The sequence below is a fragment of the Homo sapiens genome, chromosome 5 (genome assembly GCF_000001405.40).
Source record: "Homo sapiens chromosome 5, GRCh38.p14 Primary Assembly".
NCBI lineage: Eukaryota > Metazoa > Chordata > Mammalia > Primates > Hominidae > Homo > Homo sapiens.
Genome location: NC_000005.10, coordinates 178690696 through 178708994, shown reverse-complemented (window position 1 = coordinate 178708994; position 18299 = coordinate 178690696). Strand labels below are relative to the sequence as shown.

Below are 18299 nucleotides of genomic sequence, written 5' to 3'. Positions count from 1 at the left end.
TCTGAAATCAACTTCCTGACAGCCTCCAGCTTCTGAATGCCACTTGAGTGCTGCTTCTAGACCACGGTTGGTCAGCAAGTCCCTCCTTCCAGTGACCGTGCTTCTGGAAGTTAGCCAGTCGACAACCGTCTAATTCCAGTGACCACACTAACACGCTTGAAAATCTAACAGTCCATAAACATCCCTGCCTCTGAAAATTCGCCAGTCCCAGACACTGAGCTGCTTAAAATTTTGGATAAGATCAGCTCTGGCTTTCTTCAGGGATCCTGTTACTGCAAACACAGTTCTCCCTTGCAGGCATGCATCAAGTTCGACTTTTCTGTGTCACATATCAAGTTCAAGTTTATTGTTAGTTTGTAAGCTTCCAACCTTTCAATAGCTCAGCCTCAATTTATTGGTAATTATGCTTCACTCTTGTGAGTGAGATGATCGAAATTAGTATTTTCAATTATTGTTATTAACTTATTTTTTATTTTATATTTTGTGTTAAGGATACTTAATATGAGATCTACCCTATTGCCTATTTTCATTTATGTATATTTGAATCAAAATGCAAGTATAAGTTTCATGATTAATTTTTAAAATATTTGGTATCAGAGAAAAGATGTTTTGAAGCTCTTTCTACAGTACACAATTGTTCATTCAGTATTGAACATATTGGAAAGTCAGATATAAGGCAGGATATACTAACAGCTAAGCCTAAGTGATAGATGATTTCCTCAAATAGTGCTAAAGAAACGGATAAAGTAACAAATTTTCCGATGAAAGGAAATTCAGATAAAAATAAAACAACCATAGCAGAAATTGTAATGACTTTCCACACTCAATCTTTTCAGCTCAAATGACCAATGGAAACACACCAAAAGTATTTCCTGCTTCCAAAATTGCAAACGAATTTTCAAGTGCCAGGATAAAATCTGCAGTAATAAAAATGTAATCTTTCTGTTTACTATTAGAGACTATATAAAAGATCTAAAATGTCTCTTTTTACAGTATAACCCCAGATGCAAATAATCACAATGAGAATTTTTTTTTTTTTTTTTTTTTTTTTTTTTTTGCCTCTGCAATGTTTTTCTTTTGAAAACCTGTGCTTATAAAGCTATCTTATCCCTTCTAGATGAGACCTGGGAAATTGAAGCTTTTTGCAGAAACTAAATTGAGTTAATAAGTCAAATTGTATTCCTTTGGTTGATATAATACAAATACAAATTTATGTAGATGTGTAGAAGTGCAAACAATTTTTTTTTTTTTTTTTGAGACGGGGTCTCGCATTGTCGCCTGGCCTGGAGTGTAATGGTAAGATCTCGGCTCACTGCAACCTCCGCCTCCCGGGTTCAAGCGATTTTCATGCCTCAGCCACCCAAGTAGCTGGGATTACAGGCACCTGCCACCATGCCCGGCTAATTTTTTTTTTTTTTTTTTTTTTTTTTTTGTATTTTTAGTGGAGATGGGGTTTCACCATGTTGGCCAGACTGGTCTCGAACTCCTGACCTCATGATCCACCCGCCTCAGCCTCCCAAAGTGCTGGGATTACAGGAGTGAGCCACCGCGCCCCGCCAGAAGTGCAAACAATTGTTATTCAAAATTAAAGCAAAGCCTGAAGTAGGCTGTAGAAGGTGTCCTATCCATATTCTGCGTTTCTGCATGATGCTACACAGACAACCTCTGATAGCCATCCTATTGACACTGAAGTCATCATGAAATTGTTCCCTTCCTCGGCATTTAAACTGTTTAAACTGAGCAGTTAAAGGACTTTTGTGATTCTGTTGTCATTCGATATTCTTCTATTCTTCATTCTTCAATTCTCTCTTTCATTCTCTAGCACTCAGAAATTTGTTGGAACCCCCAGTTTCAACTACAACATGCAAACGGCTTGGAAGTAGTCACCCCTATCCTTATAAGAAAAAGCTAGTCAAGCTGAAAAGCAGTGACTTTTATCTTTCTGAGAACTGAAGTCACAACTGTGAAATCTGGAGAGACGGGTGTATCCAGAGACACAGCTGAGATCTGTTTACTTGGAGCCCACTGGAGCCAAAACTGGTCGGAAAACTAACAGGTAATTTTGATGAATTGCTGGAGGTTGAATATGGACTAAACTGAGAATGTGGAACTTCTGGGTCCATAGTCATAACGGGTCCCGCATACCGCCACTGCCATTAGCTCCAGGAATCCCAGCAGATTCCCAAGGTCATGATCTGAGAAATATCCCCTGAGGGCTGTGGCAGAAGAAGGGGAATCATTGTGAAATACACCCAGAGTCTTCTCCATAAAAGCCGACACTCTAGGGAAAAAAAGCTTGCCAGAGTCTTATGCTAGCTGGAGGAAGGACATTCCCCATTCTCTCTATCCTTCCTGTCTCACCTAAGGGAGAGGAAACTGTCAACATGGCTCAACACTTTGAGGATTCCAGTAGATTGGAATCCTGCAAGCAGGAGAGGGAGGGCAGGGCAAGGAGGCAAAGTTATACCACTGGAGAACACTTGAGTAGGTCCCAGCCCTTGGACACACGAGTACTGACAGATTTAACTGGAAGATTATAGAATGCACCCCCTCTGCCACCATCCCAGCAGAGCCGCAGTGCAACAGCGCTGGGTTATAGCAGACAGAGCCACAGACTGTCCCCGAGGAGGACCATTTGGGGAAATTCAGTTACAAGTGGAGATGAAAGCAAGGATACTAGAGGAATTTGAAGCCCCTGGCACCTATGGCTAGGCAATTTCTACCAAAATTAATATAAATAAAGGAGCTAATGAAAATGATTACACATCATGAACTTCTGGGATTTATCCCAGAAGTCCAATGTTGGTTCAACATATGAAAATCAACCACACCACATTTAATAGAATGGGTAGGGGGGAATGTGTTTATCTTCAGGCGGAAAAAGCATTTCACAAAATGCAGCTAACTCTACAGTTACACCAAGGTTGGGATTTCAGCACTTCCTCTTTCACTGGAAACTCAGTGAGGTCGAAAAGAATTCAGAAATAATGGATGTTCATTCGTGCAAAATAAGACAACCTCTTTTTTTGTTTTGTTTTGAGACAGAGTCTCACTCTGTCACTCAGGCTGGAGTGCAGTGGTGTGATCTCGGCTCACTGCAAGCTCTGCCTCCCGGGTTCACGCCTTTCCCCTGCCTCAGCCTCCTGAGTAGCTGGGACTACAGGCGCCCACCACCACGCCCAGCTAAGTTTTTGTATTTTTAGTAGAGATGGGGTTTCACTGTGTTAGCCAGGATGGTCTGGATCTCCTGACCTCGTGATCCTCCCGCCTCGGCCTCCCAAAGTGGTGGGGATTACAGACGTGAGCCACCATGCCCAGCCAAGACAACCTCCTATTTTGCAGTTGGGGATACGGGGCCCAGAATCCTTCCAAATCCTTGTGCAAGTTGAAGGCAGTCACACCCTCACCCAGGTATCCAATCAAACCCTGGATTAGGCGCTGCCCTGAAGGGATTTGGCTGATGCCATCAAAGTCCCAAATCCTTAAGCTAATCATCAGGGAGTACATCTTGGAGGGTGAGATATAAGTTCTCCTTTTTTGCAGGGGAAGACACGGGGACCCAGAGAGAGCAGAGGATGTGCCTGAGCTCACAGAGCAAGTGAAAGTGCTGAGACTCAGTCTCAGACTCTCATTGAGAAGCAAGGTCTTAGGCCGGGCGTGGTGGCTCATGCCTGTAATCCCATCACTTTGGGAGACCGAGGCGGGCAGATCACGAGGTCAGGAGATCGAGACCATCCTGGCCAACATGGCAAAACCCCATCTCTACTAAAAATACAGAAAGTAGCCAGGATTGCTTGCGCATGCCTGTAATCCAGCTACTGGGGATGCTGAGGAAGGAGAATTGCTTGAACTTGGGAGGCAGAGGCTGTAGTGAGCCAAGATTGTGCCACTGCACTCCAGCCTGGGTGACAGAGCAAGATTCCGTCTCAAAAAAAAAAAAAGAAAAGAAGAAAACCAAGGTCTTGATACCCAGCACCCACTGCAAGTCATGGCCTCTTCCTTGACATTGGGGCTGGCTTCTGCCCCCAGGCCTTGTGCTCCCGTCCGGCACAGCGATGGTCACTGCCTGGAAAAGTGCCTGTGGCCCCTCTGTCTCCACTCTCCAGTCTCATCCCCTGTGCCTGCCTCTCCTTCCACGGCTGGGTTAAGAGTGTGGAAGTTCTCTCTCTGCTCTCAACTTCTGTTTCCTGACACTTTATTGCTATCCCTAAAATACTATATTCTTTTGTCACTAAAACAGTGACTCCTTATCTGCAAAAGCAACTCTTCCGGTTCTCATCCGTAGCTCAGGGGACACTTCTGACATTCCTGTAGACATCCGCAATTTCTGACTTGCTCCCCAAATCTCTTCTGTTGACAACTATTTCTGCCCAGGAACCCTGATATCACTACATACCCATTTGTTTTAGTCCATTTGGGCTACTACAGTGTAATTCCACAAACTGGCTATGTTATAAAAACAGAAATGTATTTCTCACATTGCGGAGGTTGGGAAGTCCAAGAGGAGGCTGTGGTAGATTTGGTGTCTGGTGAGGGCCCACTTTCTGGCTTATAGAAGGTGCCTTCTAGCTCCTTCTTCAGGTGGTGAAGGGGGAATCAAGCTCTCTTTGGACTCCTGTAAGGATCCTAATCCTATGCAGGAGGGCTCCACCCTCATGACTCAGCTAGTCTTAATCATCTCCCGGGGGCCTCATCCCCTCACACCATCACATTAGGCCATGGGGTTTCAACACATGAATTTTGGGGGTACGCAAGCATTCAGATGTGACACACTTAATTCTCAATTACTTTTGTCCAATGACTTCATTCCTTCCAGATCCCCTTGAATTGCAAAACTGTGGCTGTGTGAATTATTTGGGATTGGTATTGAAATAACTGGTGATTTTCTTTTAAAAATTTTTTGGGGTATATAAGTGATAATTTACTACATTCATATATTTGGTAAAAATTAGATCAGTATAATTGGGATATCAATCACCTTAAATATTTGTCATTTCTTTTTTTTTTTTTTTTTGAGACGGAGTCTTGCTCTGTCCCCCAGGCTGGAGTGCAGTGGCGTGATCTCGGCTCACTGCAACGTCTGCCTCCTGGGTTCAAGCAATTCTCCTGCCTCAGCCTCCTGAGTAGCTGGGACTATGGGCACGCGCCACCATGCCCAGCTAATTTTTGTATTTTTAGTAGAGACGGGGTTTCACCATGTTGGCCAGAATGGTCTCGATCTCCTGACCTCATGATCCACCTGCCTCAGCCTCCCAAAGTGCTGGAATTACAGGTGTGAGCCACTGCACCCAGCCAAATATTTGTCTTTTCTTTATGGTCAAGACTGTCAAATTACTCTCTCATAGCTATTTTGAAATATACAATAGATTATTGTAAACTGTAGTCACCCTACTGATCTATCAAACACTAGGTCTTATTTCTTTATCGAACTGTATATTTGTACCCATTAATCAACCTCTCTTCTCTCATAATGTTGAAAATAGAAGCAGCTCCAAGCCATGATGAAATTCACTCCCTTTATAGGCATATACTGGACCATTAGGCTTGAAAGTCGCAGGCTTTGCCCTAGAGAGGGGCCCTAGAAAGAATCCTGGGCTAGAATGGAGGACCAAGTCTCCTCAGGATTTTCTCTCCTGTGTTCCAGCTCACACTTATGAAGGGAGTGACTCATGCAAGCCAAGCGCATCACACTGTGGAGCAGGCCAAGCCCAAGCACCCTGACACGGGACCCTGCCCGTGGGCGCCCTCCGCACACCTGTGCACAGGGCTTGCCATGGGAGCGTGCCCACGCCTCACTCCTGCTGCTCCTCAGCAACAGGTGGACAAAGCAGCAGCCCTGAGGACCTGGCCTGGCCTCTCCTGTTCTGAGTGCACATGGCCTCTCCCTCAAGGCTGAGAGCCAGAGAGGAACATGATGTCTTCATGGAATCTGTTCTCTCGGGTGCTCTCTCGTGTGTCTTTGGCATGGGAAAGGCTGGGCTCTGTCTGCACAGTGGAATCGCCCTGTGTGTTTGTCTCCGTGACTGCTCTCTTCTCTGGCCTGTCTCTCACCTACTACTTCAGATCCTCTTCACACCATTTAGGGGAAAATTGACATGGGCCAGGCACAGTGGCTCACATCTGTAATCCCAGCACTTTGGGAGGCCGAGGCGGACAGATCACGAGGTCAGGAGTTCGAGACCAGCCTGGCCAACATGGTGAAACCCCATCTCTACTAAAAAATACAAAAATTAGCCGGGCGTGGTCGCAAGCACCTGTAATCCCAGCTACTCGGGAGGCTGAGGCAGAAGAATTGCTTGAACCCAAGAGGCAGAGGTTGCAGTGAGCTGAGATGGTACCACTGCACTCCAGTCTGAGCAACAGAGAGAGACTCTGTCTTGAAAAAAAAGAAAAATTGGCTGGGTGCGGTGGCTCACACCTGTATTCCCAGCCCTTTGGGAGGGCGAGGCAGGCGGATCATGAGGTCAGGAGGTCGAGACCAGCCTGGCCAATATGGTGAAAGCCCGTCTCTACTAAAAATACAAAAATTAGCTGGGCGTGGTGGCGGGTGCCTGTAGTCCCAGTTATTTGGGAGGCTGAGGCCGAAGAATCGCCTGAACCCAGGAGGCGGAGGTTGCAGTGAGCCAAGACAGTGCCACTGCACTCCAGCCTGGGCGACAGAGAGAGACTCCATGTCAAAAAAAAAAAAAAAAAGAAAAAAAAAGAAAGAAAAATTGCCACGTATTCTCTGCCAGCATTTCTTTCAAACTCCCTTGTTGCATAATACTTCATTGCTCTTAGATCGATTTCCCTTTGTCACTAGGGAACCTGAAAAGACTCCATTTCGATTTGCAAATAAAATACTTCCTTGGTACATCAGAAACTACCACTGGCTCACCCTGTCCCATTTCTTTTTTTATTTTTTTTTTTTTTAGTTAATCCAGGGAAGTTCTTTGCAATTTTTATTATTTTAAAAAATATTCGGCCGGGCGCGGTGGCTCACGCCTGTAATCCCAGGACTTTGGGAGGCCGAGGCGGGTGGATCACCTGAGGTCGGAAGTTTGAGACCAGCCTGACCAACATGGAGAAACCCCGTTTCTACTAAAAATACAAAATTAGCCGGGCATGGTGGTGCATGTTTGTAATCCCAGCTACTCGGGAGGCTGAGGTTGAACCCGGGAGGCAGAGGTTCCAGTAGGCCAAGAACACACCATTGAACTCCAGCCTGGACAAAAAGAGCAAAACTCCATCTCAAAAAATATATATTTTTAAAATAATAAATATATATTTATAAATATATAATATATAGATATATTTATATATTTAAATATATATATATTTTTGAGATGGAGTTTCACTCTTGTCACCCAGGCTGGAGTGCAGTGGCGCAATCTTGTCTCACTGCAACCTCCGCCTCCCAGGTTCAAGAGATTCTCCTACCTCAGCCTCCCACGTAGCCGGGATTACCTGCATGCACCACCATACCTGACTAATTAAAAATATATATATTTTAAATTAATCCAGGGAAACCTGTCCAGTGTGTGACCTGTGCGGACCTTCCTTCACATAGGGCACACCTCATTACTTTCAGTCACTTTCCCCCAGTATTCGACCTTGTTGCCCTACTAGTTTCCAAAAATCCAGCCAAAATTAATCATATATTAATTTTTTACACTGAAACACTGAAACAGTATCCCCTAGATTAGATGATTTTCCCAAATATTTAAAACTGAACACCCAGCTGGGCATCGTGGCTCACGCATGTAATCCCAGCACTTTGGGAGGCCGAGGAGGGCAGATCACGAGGTCAAGAGTTGGAGACCATCCTGGCTAACACAGTGAAACCCCGTCTCTACTAAAAAAATACAAAAAAAATTAGCCGGGCGTGGTGGCGGGCGCCTGTAGTCCCAGCTACTTGGGAGGCTGAGGCAGGAGAATGGCGTGAACCTGGGAGGCAGAGCTTGCAGTGAGCCGAGATCGCGCCACTGCACTCCAGCCTGGGCGACAGAGCGAGACTCCGTCTCAAAAACAAACAAACAAAAAACTGAACACCCATGTTTCCTCACCCTTGAAAAGACAAGCAGCCCTGAAAATGTGTGAAAACCATTTCTTTTAAAGTCATACTCTCCTGTCTAATCTCAAAGCTCAAGAAGTCTTTCCTAAATCAGGTCCCAATCTCCTGCCCTAGGCCCCAGAGATTCCGTGGCACTTACGTCTGTTGTCAGAAATAAAAAGGTCCCTGGCCTTCCGAGCCTCTCCAGGCTCAGCCTCTCCAAGCTCAGCCTCTCAGCCCGGATTATGCATCAGACCCACCTGGGACCCTCTGAGCTCCTCGTGCTCGGGATCAACCTGGATGGTCACACTGGAATCTCTGAGAAGGGACTCTCAGGATGGTCACACTCTCTCGGGAGTGCTAGCCTGAAGCCTGGCAGTTCTAATCTAATCTAATCTCCCACCTCCCAGGGGCCCAGTGAGGTGGGGCAGGACCAAGGTGGCCCCTGGACTCAGTGTAGTTCATGGCAAAGCCCGTGATACTCCTTTAAGGCAAAGAGCTCATGCCAGACTAGCGTTAGAATAACCAGAGGACTTTTCTCCACAGTGACCAGCCCAGGATAACTAAATTTGAATGATTGGAATTGGCCTTTGAGAAAGCCTTCCAGCTGATTCCATTGTAGAGTCAGGACTGGGAAGCTGTCCTATCACGGGATTCACCTGTAGACAAGATCCACAATTTCACTGAACGCATAGGCCAGTGGAAGAGCTAGACTTGACCAGGGAGTTGTGTTGAAATGTACTGTGTCCAAGTTGAGGAGAGCATGGCGAGGCAGCACCTGTGAGGAGTGCCAGGGATGGAGACGGCCCCCATGCCCAGGGCGACGGGGGCCTGCAGGAGGAGCGGGCCTGATGGGTGACTGGTGATGGGAGCAGAGCAACGAGCAGAAGCAGCAAAGGCCCCGAGGCCACACAGTGCCCAGTGTGTTCAGGAAATGGGAGAAGCCTGGAGCCCGGACAAACAGAGAAAATCAGCTTGATCTGAAGCTGCCCCAGAGCCATGGAATGAAGAATGTCTGTGCTGGAAAGCCACAGAAACAGGCTTGGTGCATATACCGAGGACAAGATAAGCAGGGTCCCCATTAGAAGCCACAGAAACAGGCTTGGTGCATATACCGAGGACAAGATAAGCAGGGTCCCCATTAGAATGCAACAGCTGTTGTCCATGGAAGTAACCTTGATGCCTGCACTATTTTAATTTCAGCATGAATAAAAAGTCAGTTAATGGTACTTATTTAGAAAATAAGGTATCAGGCTGGTTGTGGTGGCTCAAGCCTGTAATCCCAGCATTTTGGGAGGCCAAGGTGGGTGGATCACCTGAGGCCGGGAGTTCAAGACCAGCCTAGCCAACATGGTGAAACCCTTCTCTACTAGAAATATGAAAATAAGCCAGGTGTGGTGGCACGCGCCTGTCATCCCAGCTACTTGGGAGGCTGAGGCAGGAGAATTGCTTGAAGCCAGGAGGCAGAGGTTGCATCACTGTACTCCAGCTTGGGTGAGAGAGTGAGACTCTATCAGAAAAAAAAAAAGAAGGAAAGAAAATAGGCTATCAGTAATTTCTGATTGAGAAGAAGCTGTCACTGAGAAGATAAAGAATTCAGGAATTATTTCTGCATTTCTGTTTTTGAAACAGCCTGGATACAGTTGCCATTTATAGCAGGGCAGAAACCCTGAAGATGAGTTGAATGGGAGGTGATGCTGGGGGTGAACACGCTGAGTGCAGGCTCCTGCTAGATGCAGGGCTGAGGTGCCTAAAGTTTCTATTTGCCTCCAGCAAGACAGAGGGCTCGAGCCTGGGGAAGAAGACGGTGTTCATTAACATTTGGGGGAGAGGAAGGAATAACTTGGTCAGATTTTTGTCTCAGATGGTCCCTGAGGCAGAGTGGGGGTGTATTGGACAGGCCCAAAGTGGGAAGCACAGAGAAGAGTTTCCTGACCATATGGGCATCAGGAAATGGAGGCCTGAAATCTGTCTGTGGAAATGAAGAGATGGTGGTATTTTTAGATGACATGGAAAGAAGCAAAGATTAGTCTTAAGCCACATGGAGTTTGTTCTGACTTAAGGTACCACTAGGCCCAGCATGGTGGCTCACACCTGCAGTCTCAGCACTTTGGGAGGCCGAGGCAGGAGGATTGCTTGAAATGAAGAGTTCACAACCAGCCTGAGCAACGTAGTGAGACCCTGTCTCTACAAAAAAAAAAAAAAAAAAAAAAGGCCAAGCATGGTGGCACAAGCACCTGCAGTAATCCTAGCTACCTGCGAGGCTGAGGCAGTAGGATCACTTCAGCCCAGGAGTTTGAGGCTGCAGTGAGCCATGATCACGCCACTGCACCCCAGCCTGGGCAGCAGAGCAAGACCCTACCTCTAAAAATAAAAAATGGGTAGAAATAAAGTACCATTCACTGTAAAGCCCCCTTCCCTGTCTTCTCAGACGCTATCATGAGCTAAAAGCTGTGAATCTTAGGATTGTGCTGAGTAGAGTGGAATCAAGCCCAAGAGTTAAGATTTGTTCTGAGGGCATCCCTAATCCTGGACTGCATCTGAGATTCTGAAGCCAAAAAGCAACCTAGGAGTTGCTTCCCTCACATGCTGGGCACTCAGCACACTCCTTCTCCGTCCCCACCGTCACTTACTTGCCCAAACTATTAACCACCCTCCAATATCCCTCTGCTTCCTCATTTCTGTATATGTAAATCTCAAGTCTGTCCTCTTGTAAAGCGAAAGCTCTGTTCGCCTCTCTCTTCCCTACCCTAAACTCCTTTTTAATCTGAGCTTCTCATAGAGGGTCCCACATCCATAACTGCCATCCATGCCATCCATTCACCCTCAACCAGCTGAAGCCTAGTCTCTTCCCCTAATCCTTACATCGCAATTAATCCTCAGAGGTCAAACCCTAAGGACAAAGCTGACCATTCAGCACGAACTCAGGGGGAAGGGGTAATTTATCTATAGGAATGTAACAACCCATCCCTTTGCATCTGGAGATGCTGGTCTCAGAGACCCTTAGAACCCCTGCCGAGTTGATCTCCAATTTCCCTGTTGCAGTTATTCAATCAAATTCTAGTCTGGATGAAGGGATTTTGTGGATGTGATTAAAGTACTAAATTAGTTTATCTTTAGTTAATCCAAAGTCTCCAGGTTGGGTGGGTCTGACCCAATCACATTTAAGATATTTAAACATGTCCGATCTGCATTGGCTTCAGAGACCTCCAGAAGCCGACAGAAGCAAGCACATTTCCACACTCGGGTTCCTCCTGACTCTCCTAGGTTCCACTAGAGGAGAGTAAGTGCCAGTGTTCCGCCAACTCAGGAACTGACCAGACCCTGCAGGCACAGTGAGAAGACTCCCGGGAGAAAACTCAGGAGTAAAAATGGAGGCAAGTTGAAGGGCGCCCGCTTGCTGTTTCGTGGGAGGATGGCTGGGGTTGGCTTTCATTTCATTTCACAAGAATTTTTGCAGCCATTGAAATGTGTGCTGTTCCTTTTTATTTTTATTTATTTATATTTTTGAGACGGAGTCTCGCTCTGTCGCCCAGGCTGGAGTGCAGGGGCGCGATCCCGGCTCACTGCAACCTCCGCCTCCCGGGTTCAGGCCATTCTCCTGCCTCAGCCTCCCGAGTAGCTGGGACTACAGGCGCCCGCCACCACGCCCGGCTAATTTTTTGTATTTTTAGTAGAGACGGGGTTTCACCGTGTTAGCCAGGATGGTCTCGATCTCCTGACCTCGTGATCCGCCCGCCTCGGCCTCCCAAAGTGCTGGGATTACAGGCGTGAGCCACCTTATCCTCTAAGGCACCCGCTTCCTCTGTATGTTCAGCCACAGGCAGCCTTTGGAATTAGATTGATGCTTTGGGGGATCGTTTTGAATCTTTGTTAGTTGGTATGGGAAGAAACTTCAGTCTGTGGGTAATTTGACCCCACTGCTGAGGCGCTACTCTCCTAGCACTCTCTTCAAAGCCCCTTGGACTAGGCAGACTTTTTACTCCAGCTGCGGAGACTCAGATTCTTCACCGCCCAGAGTGACCCCAGGAACTTTCCAGCCTGCTCCTTTCTCGCGGTGTTTTCCCAGCCCAGGCAGTTTCCTCTCATTCATGCTCTGATCTGCTTGGACAGGGGACTTCCCAGTAGATCCACAGAGCTCTCTCTGCTTCCCTCTCTCCACCCTCTCCCCAGTACTGCTTCTGTGTCCTGTACTTGCCACTGTGAGGTCCAGCAGACTCTCCCCAAGTTCTCAACTCAGGAGAACACACGCTCTGCTTGATTTCCCTCTCCCTGCTCCCAGCCTGGAAATTCCGTGCGGGTTTGAGCTGGGTACTTGCAGGAGCCCCAACCCTTGTTTCCTGCCTTCACTCCACTGTCCCACGCGCCCTTGTCCAGTGTCTAAAACCACTGGGTTCATATCGTTCATCTGGCAGTTTACTTTTTAAATACAAGGGGGGCTGGTCGCAGTGGCTCACGCCTGTAATCCCAGCACTTTGGGAGTCCAAGACAGGCGGATCACTTGAGGTCAGGGGTTTGAGACCAGCCTGACTAACGAGGTGAAACAACGTCTCTACTAAAAAAACACCAAATATTAGCCAGGTGTGGTGGTGCGTGCCTGTAATCCCAGCTACTTGGGAGGCTGAAGCAGGAGAATCACTTGAACCCAGGAGGCAGAAGTTGCAGTGAGCTGAGATCGTGCCACTGCACTCCAGCCTGGCGACAGAGCAAGACTCTGTCTCAAAAAAAAAGAGAGAGAGAGAGAGAGATTCTAATATGTATTTATCTTTTTTTTTTATTAGATAGTAATACTTCCCACTGAAACTACCATAAACATCCAGAAAATGGAGCAGGAAAACACAGCCCAGGGATCAGAAAAGCCCTCAGGTACAGTGTCCTCAGAGTCTTACATGTAGTAGAGAAAATTTTCCAGCCCACCTCCATCTTCTCGAGTCTGATACGCTCATCCAAGCCCCAAGAGGGGGCATCTCAGGGGATTCCAGGGCTGCCCTCAGCATCCCCTAAGCTCCCTGCCCACAGCTCAGGTGACAGTAAAAGGCCCCACAGGGATGGGATGTGAGTCCCACATCAGGGGAGCACTCTCAGGCAGCAAATATGCCATCACACCCTGTCAGTAGCCTCTGAAACATTTTAAGGAACTTGAGCAAGACCCAGGCTCTCAGATGTTTCCTTGCCTGTCCCAGTGACTGGATGTGTCAGGCGTCAGGACTCAGGCAGATGCTGAATCTCTCACTTCTCATTTAAGGTCCTATTATCTCCCATAACTGAATAAAGTCAAGTTTGGACCTGTCCATGTAGAGGCAGGATCCTGCACATGTGCAGGTGAGTTATGCCAAGTACATCCATATTCCTCTTTCCTTCCAGTCCAGTCAGTTAAACCTTGGAGTGACCAGGAAATCCGGAGTTTCCTGCAAGAATGGGAATTTCTTGAACGTGAGGTGTACAGGGTGAAGAAGAAGTATCACATAGTATCAAAAGCAATTGCTCAGCGTCTCAAGCAGAGGGGTATCAACAAGAGCTGGAAGGAATGTCTCCAGATGCTAATAAGCTTGCAGGACTTATACTTCACTATTCAGGAGGCCAACCAGAGGCCAAGGTGCCAACCCTTGCCATGTCCTTATGGTGAGGCCCTGCACAGGATTCTGGGGTACAGATGGAAGATCAGCGTCTTCTCAGGTTTGTGTCTTTTGTGTTCATCTCCATGGTCTAGTGAGTGCCATTGTCTTCCCCCACCCCACCCCCACCATCCTTGTGCCCTGAGTAGAGCAAAGAATGATGGGACAGGCCCCTGCCCAGAGTCCCTCGACACACAGCACAGGGGACTTGCTGCTCTGATGGGCTGCCTGCCTCTATTTTTCCTTTTTATTCTTCCCCAAAGTAATAATTCTGAGGACTTTGTTCGTGGACTTGTTCAGAATGGACATGGCCCTGGGGCTGGGTGAGGTCACAAGCAAGGATTCAGGTACAGGGTGGGTGATGGCTTCATGAGCCCTCCATGTGTCTTCTCTCTCTCAGGTCCTCCCTGTGCAGATGTGGTTAACCTCGCACCTCCCGAGCACCCGCCCCAGGCCTATGGCGTTCCCATAGTCTTTCAGGAGCCGATGTGGGCCCCAACACCTGTGATCTATGTGGAAAATCCTCAGGTACCCGGATGGGAGCCCTGGAACATGAATGGTCATGTTCCATATATGTATCCTGCTTTGCCTCCGGCAGCCCCAGGCCCCCTGACACAGTGGGCCATCTCTACTGACTGATCCAGGTCTTGAAGACATTTAGAATCTGGATCCTGATTCATCAGAAAGACTGAAAAACAGCACAATCTGTGTGTGTTAGTGAATGACTCCTTCCTCTCCTCACCTGGTGCAATGAGAATAAATGTGAAATAAATGAATGACCGTGACCTCATCCCTTTCTGGCTTGTGCTTGTGGCTTGGGTTGAACCTTTAATTGTAGAAAGACCATGGGACAGGGAGGGAGCTCAGCCCCCCAGTGATCTTGGACCCGTCCTTTCATTCCTGCATCATGCTTCCTGCATGGAAGCTCCTTTGTAGTAAGGGATAACTTTTACCCCAGAGGTAACTGCTCAATCCTGCCTTCATTTCCTGGCTGTGTGATCATAGAATCTTTTTTTTTTTTTTTTTTTTTTTGAGATGGAGTCTCACTTGGTTGCCCAGGCTGGAGTGCAGTGGCATGATCTCGGCTCACTGCAACCTCTGCCTCCTGGATTCAAGCAATTCTCTGCCTCAGCCTCCTGAATAGCTGGGATTACAGGCGCCCGCCACCATGCCCAGCTAATTTTTGTATTTTTAGTAGAAATGGAGTTTCACCATCTTGGACAGGCTGGTCTTGAACTCCTGACCTCAGGTGATCCACTCGCCTTGGCCTCCCAAAGTGCTGGGATTACAGGCGTGAGCCACTGCGCCCAGCCAGAACTTTTATTTCATGTTTCTGAGCCTCCAGATCCTCGTATTAAAATTAAAGCTGATATCTTACTTCAGGAGATAGTTTTTGGATAAAAACACAGGTGGCATAATCACTGTGTGTTAAGTTCATTTTTCCACATTTGTGGGTGGTCTCATTGAGAGGTGAATCCAGCTGGGCTTCTGGGTCGGGTGGGGACTTGGAGAACTTTTCTGACTAGCTAGAGGATTGTAAATGCACCAATCAGCACTCTGTGTCTAGCTAGAGGATTGTAAATGCACCAATCAGCATTCTATAAAAATGGACCAATCAGCACTCTGTAAAATAGACCAATCAGCAGGACATGGGCAGGGGCAAATAAGGGAATAAAAGCTGGCCACCAGCGCCAGCAGATGCAAGGTGCTCAGGTCCTCTTTCGTGCTGTGGGAGGTTTGTTCTTTCTTTGCTCTTCACAATAAATTCTTGCTGCTGCTCACCCTTTGGGTCTGCACCACCTTTAAGAGCTATAACACCCGCGGTGAAGGTACGTGGCTTCATTGTTGAAGTCAGTGAGACCAAGAACCCACTGGAAGGCAGAAACTCCGGACATATCTGAAGGAACAGACTCCGGCCACACTATCTTTAAGAGCTGTGACACTCACCGCGAAGGTACATGGCTTCATTCTTGAAGTCAGTGAGACCAAGAACCCACCAGAAAGAATAAATTCCGGACACATTATTATATTTTTTTGAGACGGAGTCTCACTATTGTCCCAGCTTGGAGTATGGTGGCACAATCTTGGCTCACCATAACCTCCGCCACCTGGGTTCAAGCAATTCTCCTGCCTCAGCCTCTCAAGTAGCTGGGATTACAGGCGTGCGCCACCATGTCTGGTTAATTTTTTTGTATTTTTTAGTAGAGACGGGGTTTCTCTATGTTGGTCAGGCTGGTCTCAAACTCCCGACCTCAGGTGATCCGCCCGCCTCAGCCTCCCAAAGTGCTGGGATTACCGACGTGAGCTACGAACCCAGCCCGTGGTCTTATTTTTTAAGGAAACATTATTTTGAGATAATTATAGTTCTACATGCTGTTGTAACAAGTAGTACAGAGGGACTCTAGAGAGATCCCTTAGGCCCTATGTCCGGGTCCCCCCAGCTGTAACAGCTCAGAAAACACAGTATCATAACCAGGATATTGACATCGATACAGTCAAGAGAGTCACCAGAAGAAACCCTCTCACTGCCCTTTATGAGGGACATGCACGTCCCTCCCGCCCTCAGCCCCTCCTTAACTCCTGGCAACCGCTGAAATACACTTCCTTTTTATAAGTTTGTTATTTCAACAATGTTATATAAATGGAATTGTACGGTATGTAGCCTTTTGGGAATAGCTTTTTTCAGTTACTCATTAGAGATTCCTCCAGGTTGTTGCATGGATCAATTGTTAATTCCTTTTTCTTGCCATGTAGTGTTCCACTGGGTGGATGTAGAAGAAGCTGTTGAACCCTTCGCCCAGTGGATGACATCCGGGATGTTTCCAGTTTGGACTATTGTGAGTAAAGCTGTTATAATCCTCCAGATACAGGTTTTGTGTAAACACAAGACTTCCTTTGGGATAAATACCCAGGGGTACAATTTCTGGGTGTATAATAATTGCATGTTTAATTTTTTTTTTTTTTTTTTGAGATGGAGTCTTGCTCTGTCATCCAGGCTAGAGTGCAGCGGTGCAATCTCAGCTCACTGCAACCTCTGTCCCTGGGTTTCAAGCAACTCTCCTGCCTCAGCCTCCCCAATAGCTGGGATTACAGGCGCCTGCCACCATGCCTAGCTAATTTTTGTATTTTTAGTAGAGAGAGGGTTTCACCATATTGGCCAGGCTTGTCTCGAACTCTTGAGCTCAGGTGGTCCACCCACCTCGGCCTCCCAAAGTGCTGGGATTACAGGCATGAGCCACAGCGCCTGGCCTAATTTTTTTTTTTTTTTTTTTTTTAGAAACTGCCAAACTCTTTACCAGATGGCCGTGTCATTCTACATCCCCACCAGCAATGTATGAGTGAACCAGTTTCTCCATATCCTCACCAGCATTTTGTTTTGTCACTATTCATTAAAAGGCGAATAGAATGGCCTTCAGAGTGTCCATCGCAGAGGGCCTTAGCAGAGCTTAGAATGATGGGACTGGCCTCTGCCCAGGGCCCCTCTGCACAGCATGACAAAGCGGTGATATCTACTTATGGCTTCCATTTTCAGTTCCCTGGCGGCTGATGATACGGAGCATGTTGTATGCCTATTTGCCATCTGCATATCCTCTGCAGTGACATGGCTCTTCATGGTTTTGGCCATTTTCTAATTGGATTTTTGTTTTTACTGTTATTATTTGAGAGTTTTTTAAAATATATTCTAGATATTCGTTTTATGGGATATGGGTGTTGCAGATACTTTCTCCCTGTTTGTAGCTTGTCTTTTCATGCCCTTCTTATGGGCTTTCACAGAGAAAAGACTTTGTGAGGTACAATTTACCAACATTTTAATGGGTAGTGCTTTGGGTGTCAAATCTAAGAACCCTTTGGTTAGTCCTAGATCCTGAAGACTTTTTCCTATATTTTTCTTTTTCTTTTTCTTTTCTTTCTTTTTTTTTTTTTTTTTTGAGATGGAGTCTTGCTCTGTCTCCCAGGCTGGAGTGGTGCAGTGGCATGATCTTGGCTCACTGCAAGCTCCGCCTCCTGGGTTCACGCCATTCTCCTGCCTCAGCCTCCCGAGTAGCTGGGACTACAGGCGCCCGCCACCACGCCTGGCTAATTTTTTGTATTTTTAGTAGAGACGGGGTTTCGCCGTGTTAGCCTGGATGGTCTTGACCTCCTGACCTCGTGATCCACCTGCCTCGGCCTCCCAAAGTGCTGGGATTACAGGCTTGAGCCACTGTGCCCGGCTGACTTTTTCCTATATTTTTCTTAAAGTTTTATAGTTTTACATTTTGCATTTAAGTCCCTGGTACATTTGAGTTAAATTGTGATTAAGGTTTGTGAAGTTTAGGTTAAGGTTCATTTTGTGTGTATGTGCCTGTGAATGTCCAGTTGCTCTTCTCTGAAGAGGCTATCTTTTCTGCGTTGAATTTCTTTTGCATTTTTGTGACAAATTAGGTGGGCATATTTGTGTGGTTCTTGTCATGGGTTCTCTACCTTGTTCCATTGGTCTGCACTCTGCTAATATCACACACCCTTGTTTACTATAGCTGTATAAGTTATTAAATCATATAAATTAATTCTTCCTACTTTGTTCTTTGATTGATTTTTCAAACATTGAACCAGCCTCATATCTCTGGAGTACATCAATTGTCCATCATATAATTTTTTCATCTATTATTGATGTA

The 18299-nt window shown here is 46.7% G+C and overlaps 1 protein-coding gene across 3 annotated transcripts; it reads left to right on the top strand.

Moving 5' to 3' along the window:
- Positions 1-1522: 1522 nt before the first annotated feature.
- Positions 1523-17461, top strand: MSANTD5 (Myb/SANT DNA binding domain containing 5). Of its 3 annotated transcripts, XR_007058568.1 has the most exons (7): positions 1523-2056; positions 11300-11409; positions 12814-12898; positions 13397-13708; positions 14048-14175; positions 16402-16484; positions 16925-17461. XR_007058568.1 is itself a non-coding variant. In XM_017010138.1 (5 exons), exons 2-5 carry the CDS (start codon positions 11404-11406, stop codon positions 14284-14286), a joined length of 642 nt encoding a protein of 213 aa, XP_016865627.1. In that variant the 5' UTR covers positions 1523-2056; positions 11300-11403; the 3' UTR covers positions 14287-14423. The 3 variants fall into 3 exon arrangements, 2 of the variants coding, with proteins under 2 accessions (XP_016865627.1, NP_001382365.1); XM_017010138.1 differs by lacking the exons at positions 16402-16484; positions 16925-17461 and having other exon boundaries at positions 14048-14423; NM_001395436.2 differs by lacking the exons at positions 1523-2056; positions 16402-16484; positions 16925-17461 and having other exon boundaries at positions 11234-11409; positions 14048-14423.
- Positions 17462-18299: the final 838 nt, after the last annotated feature.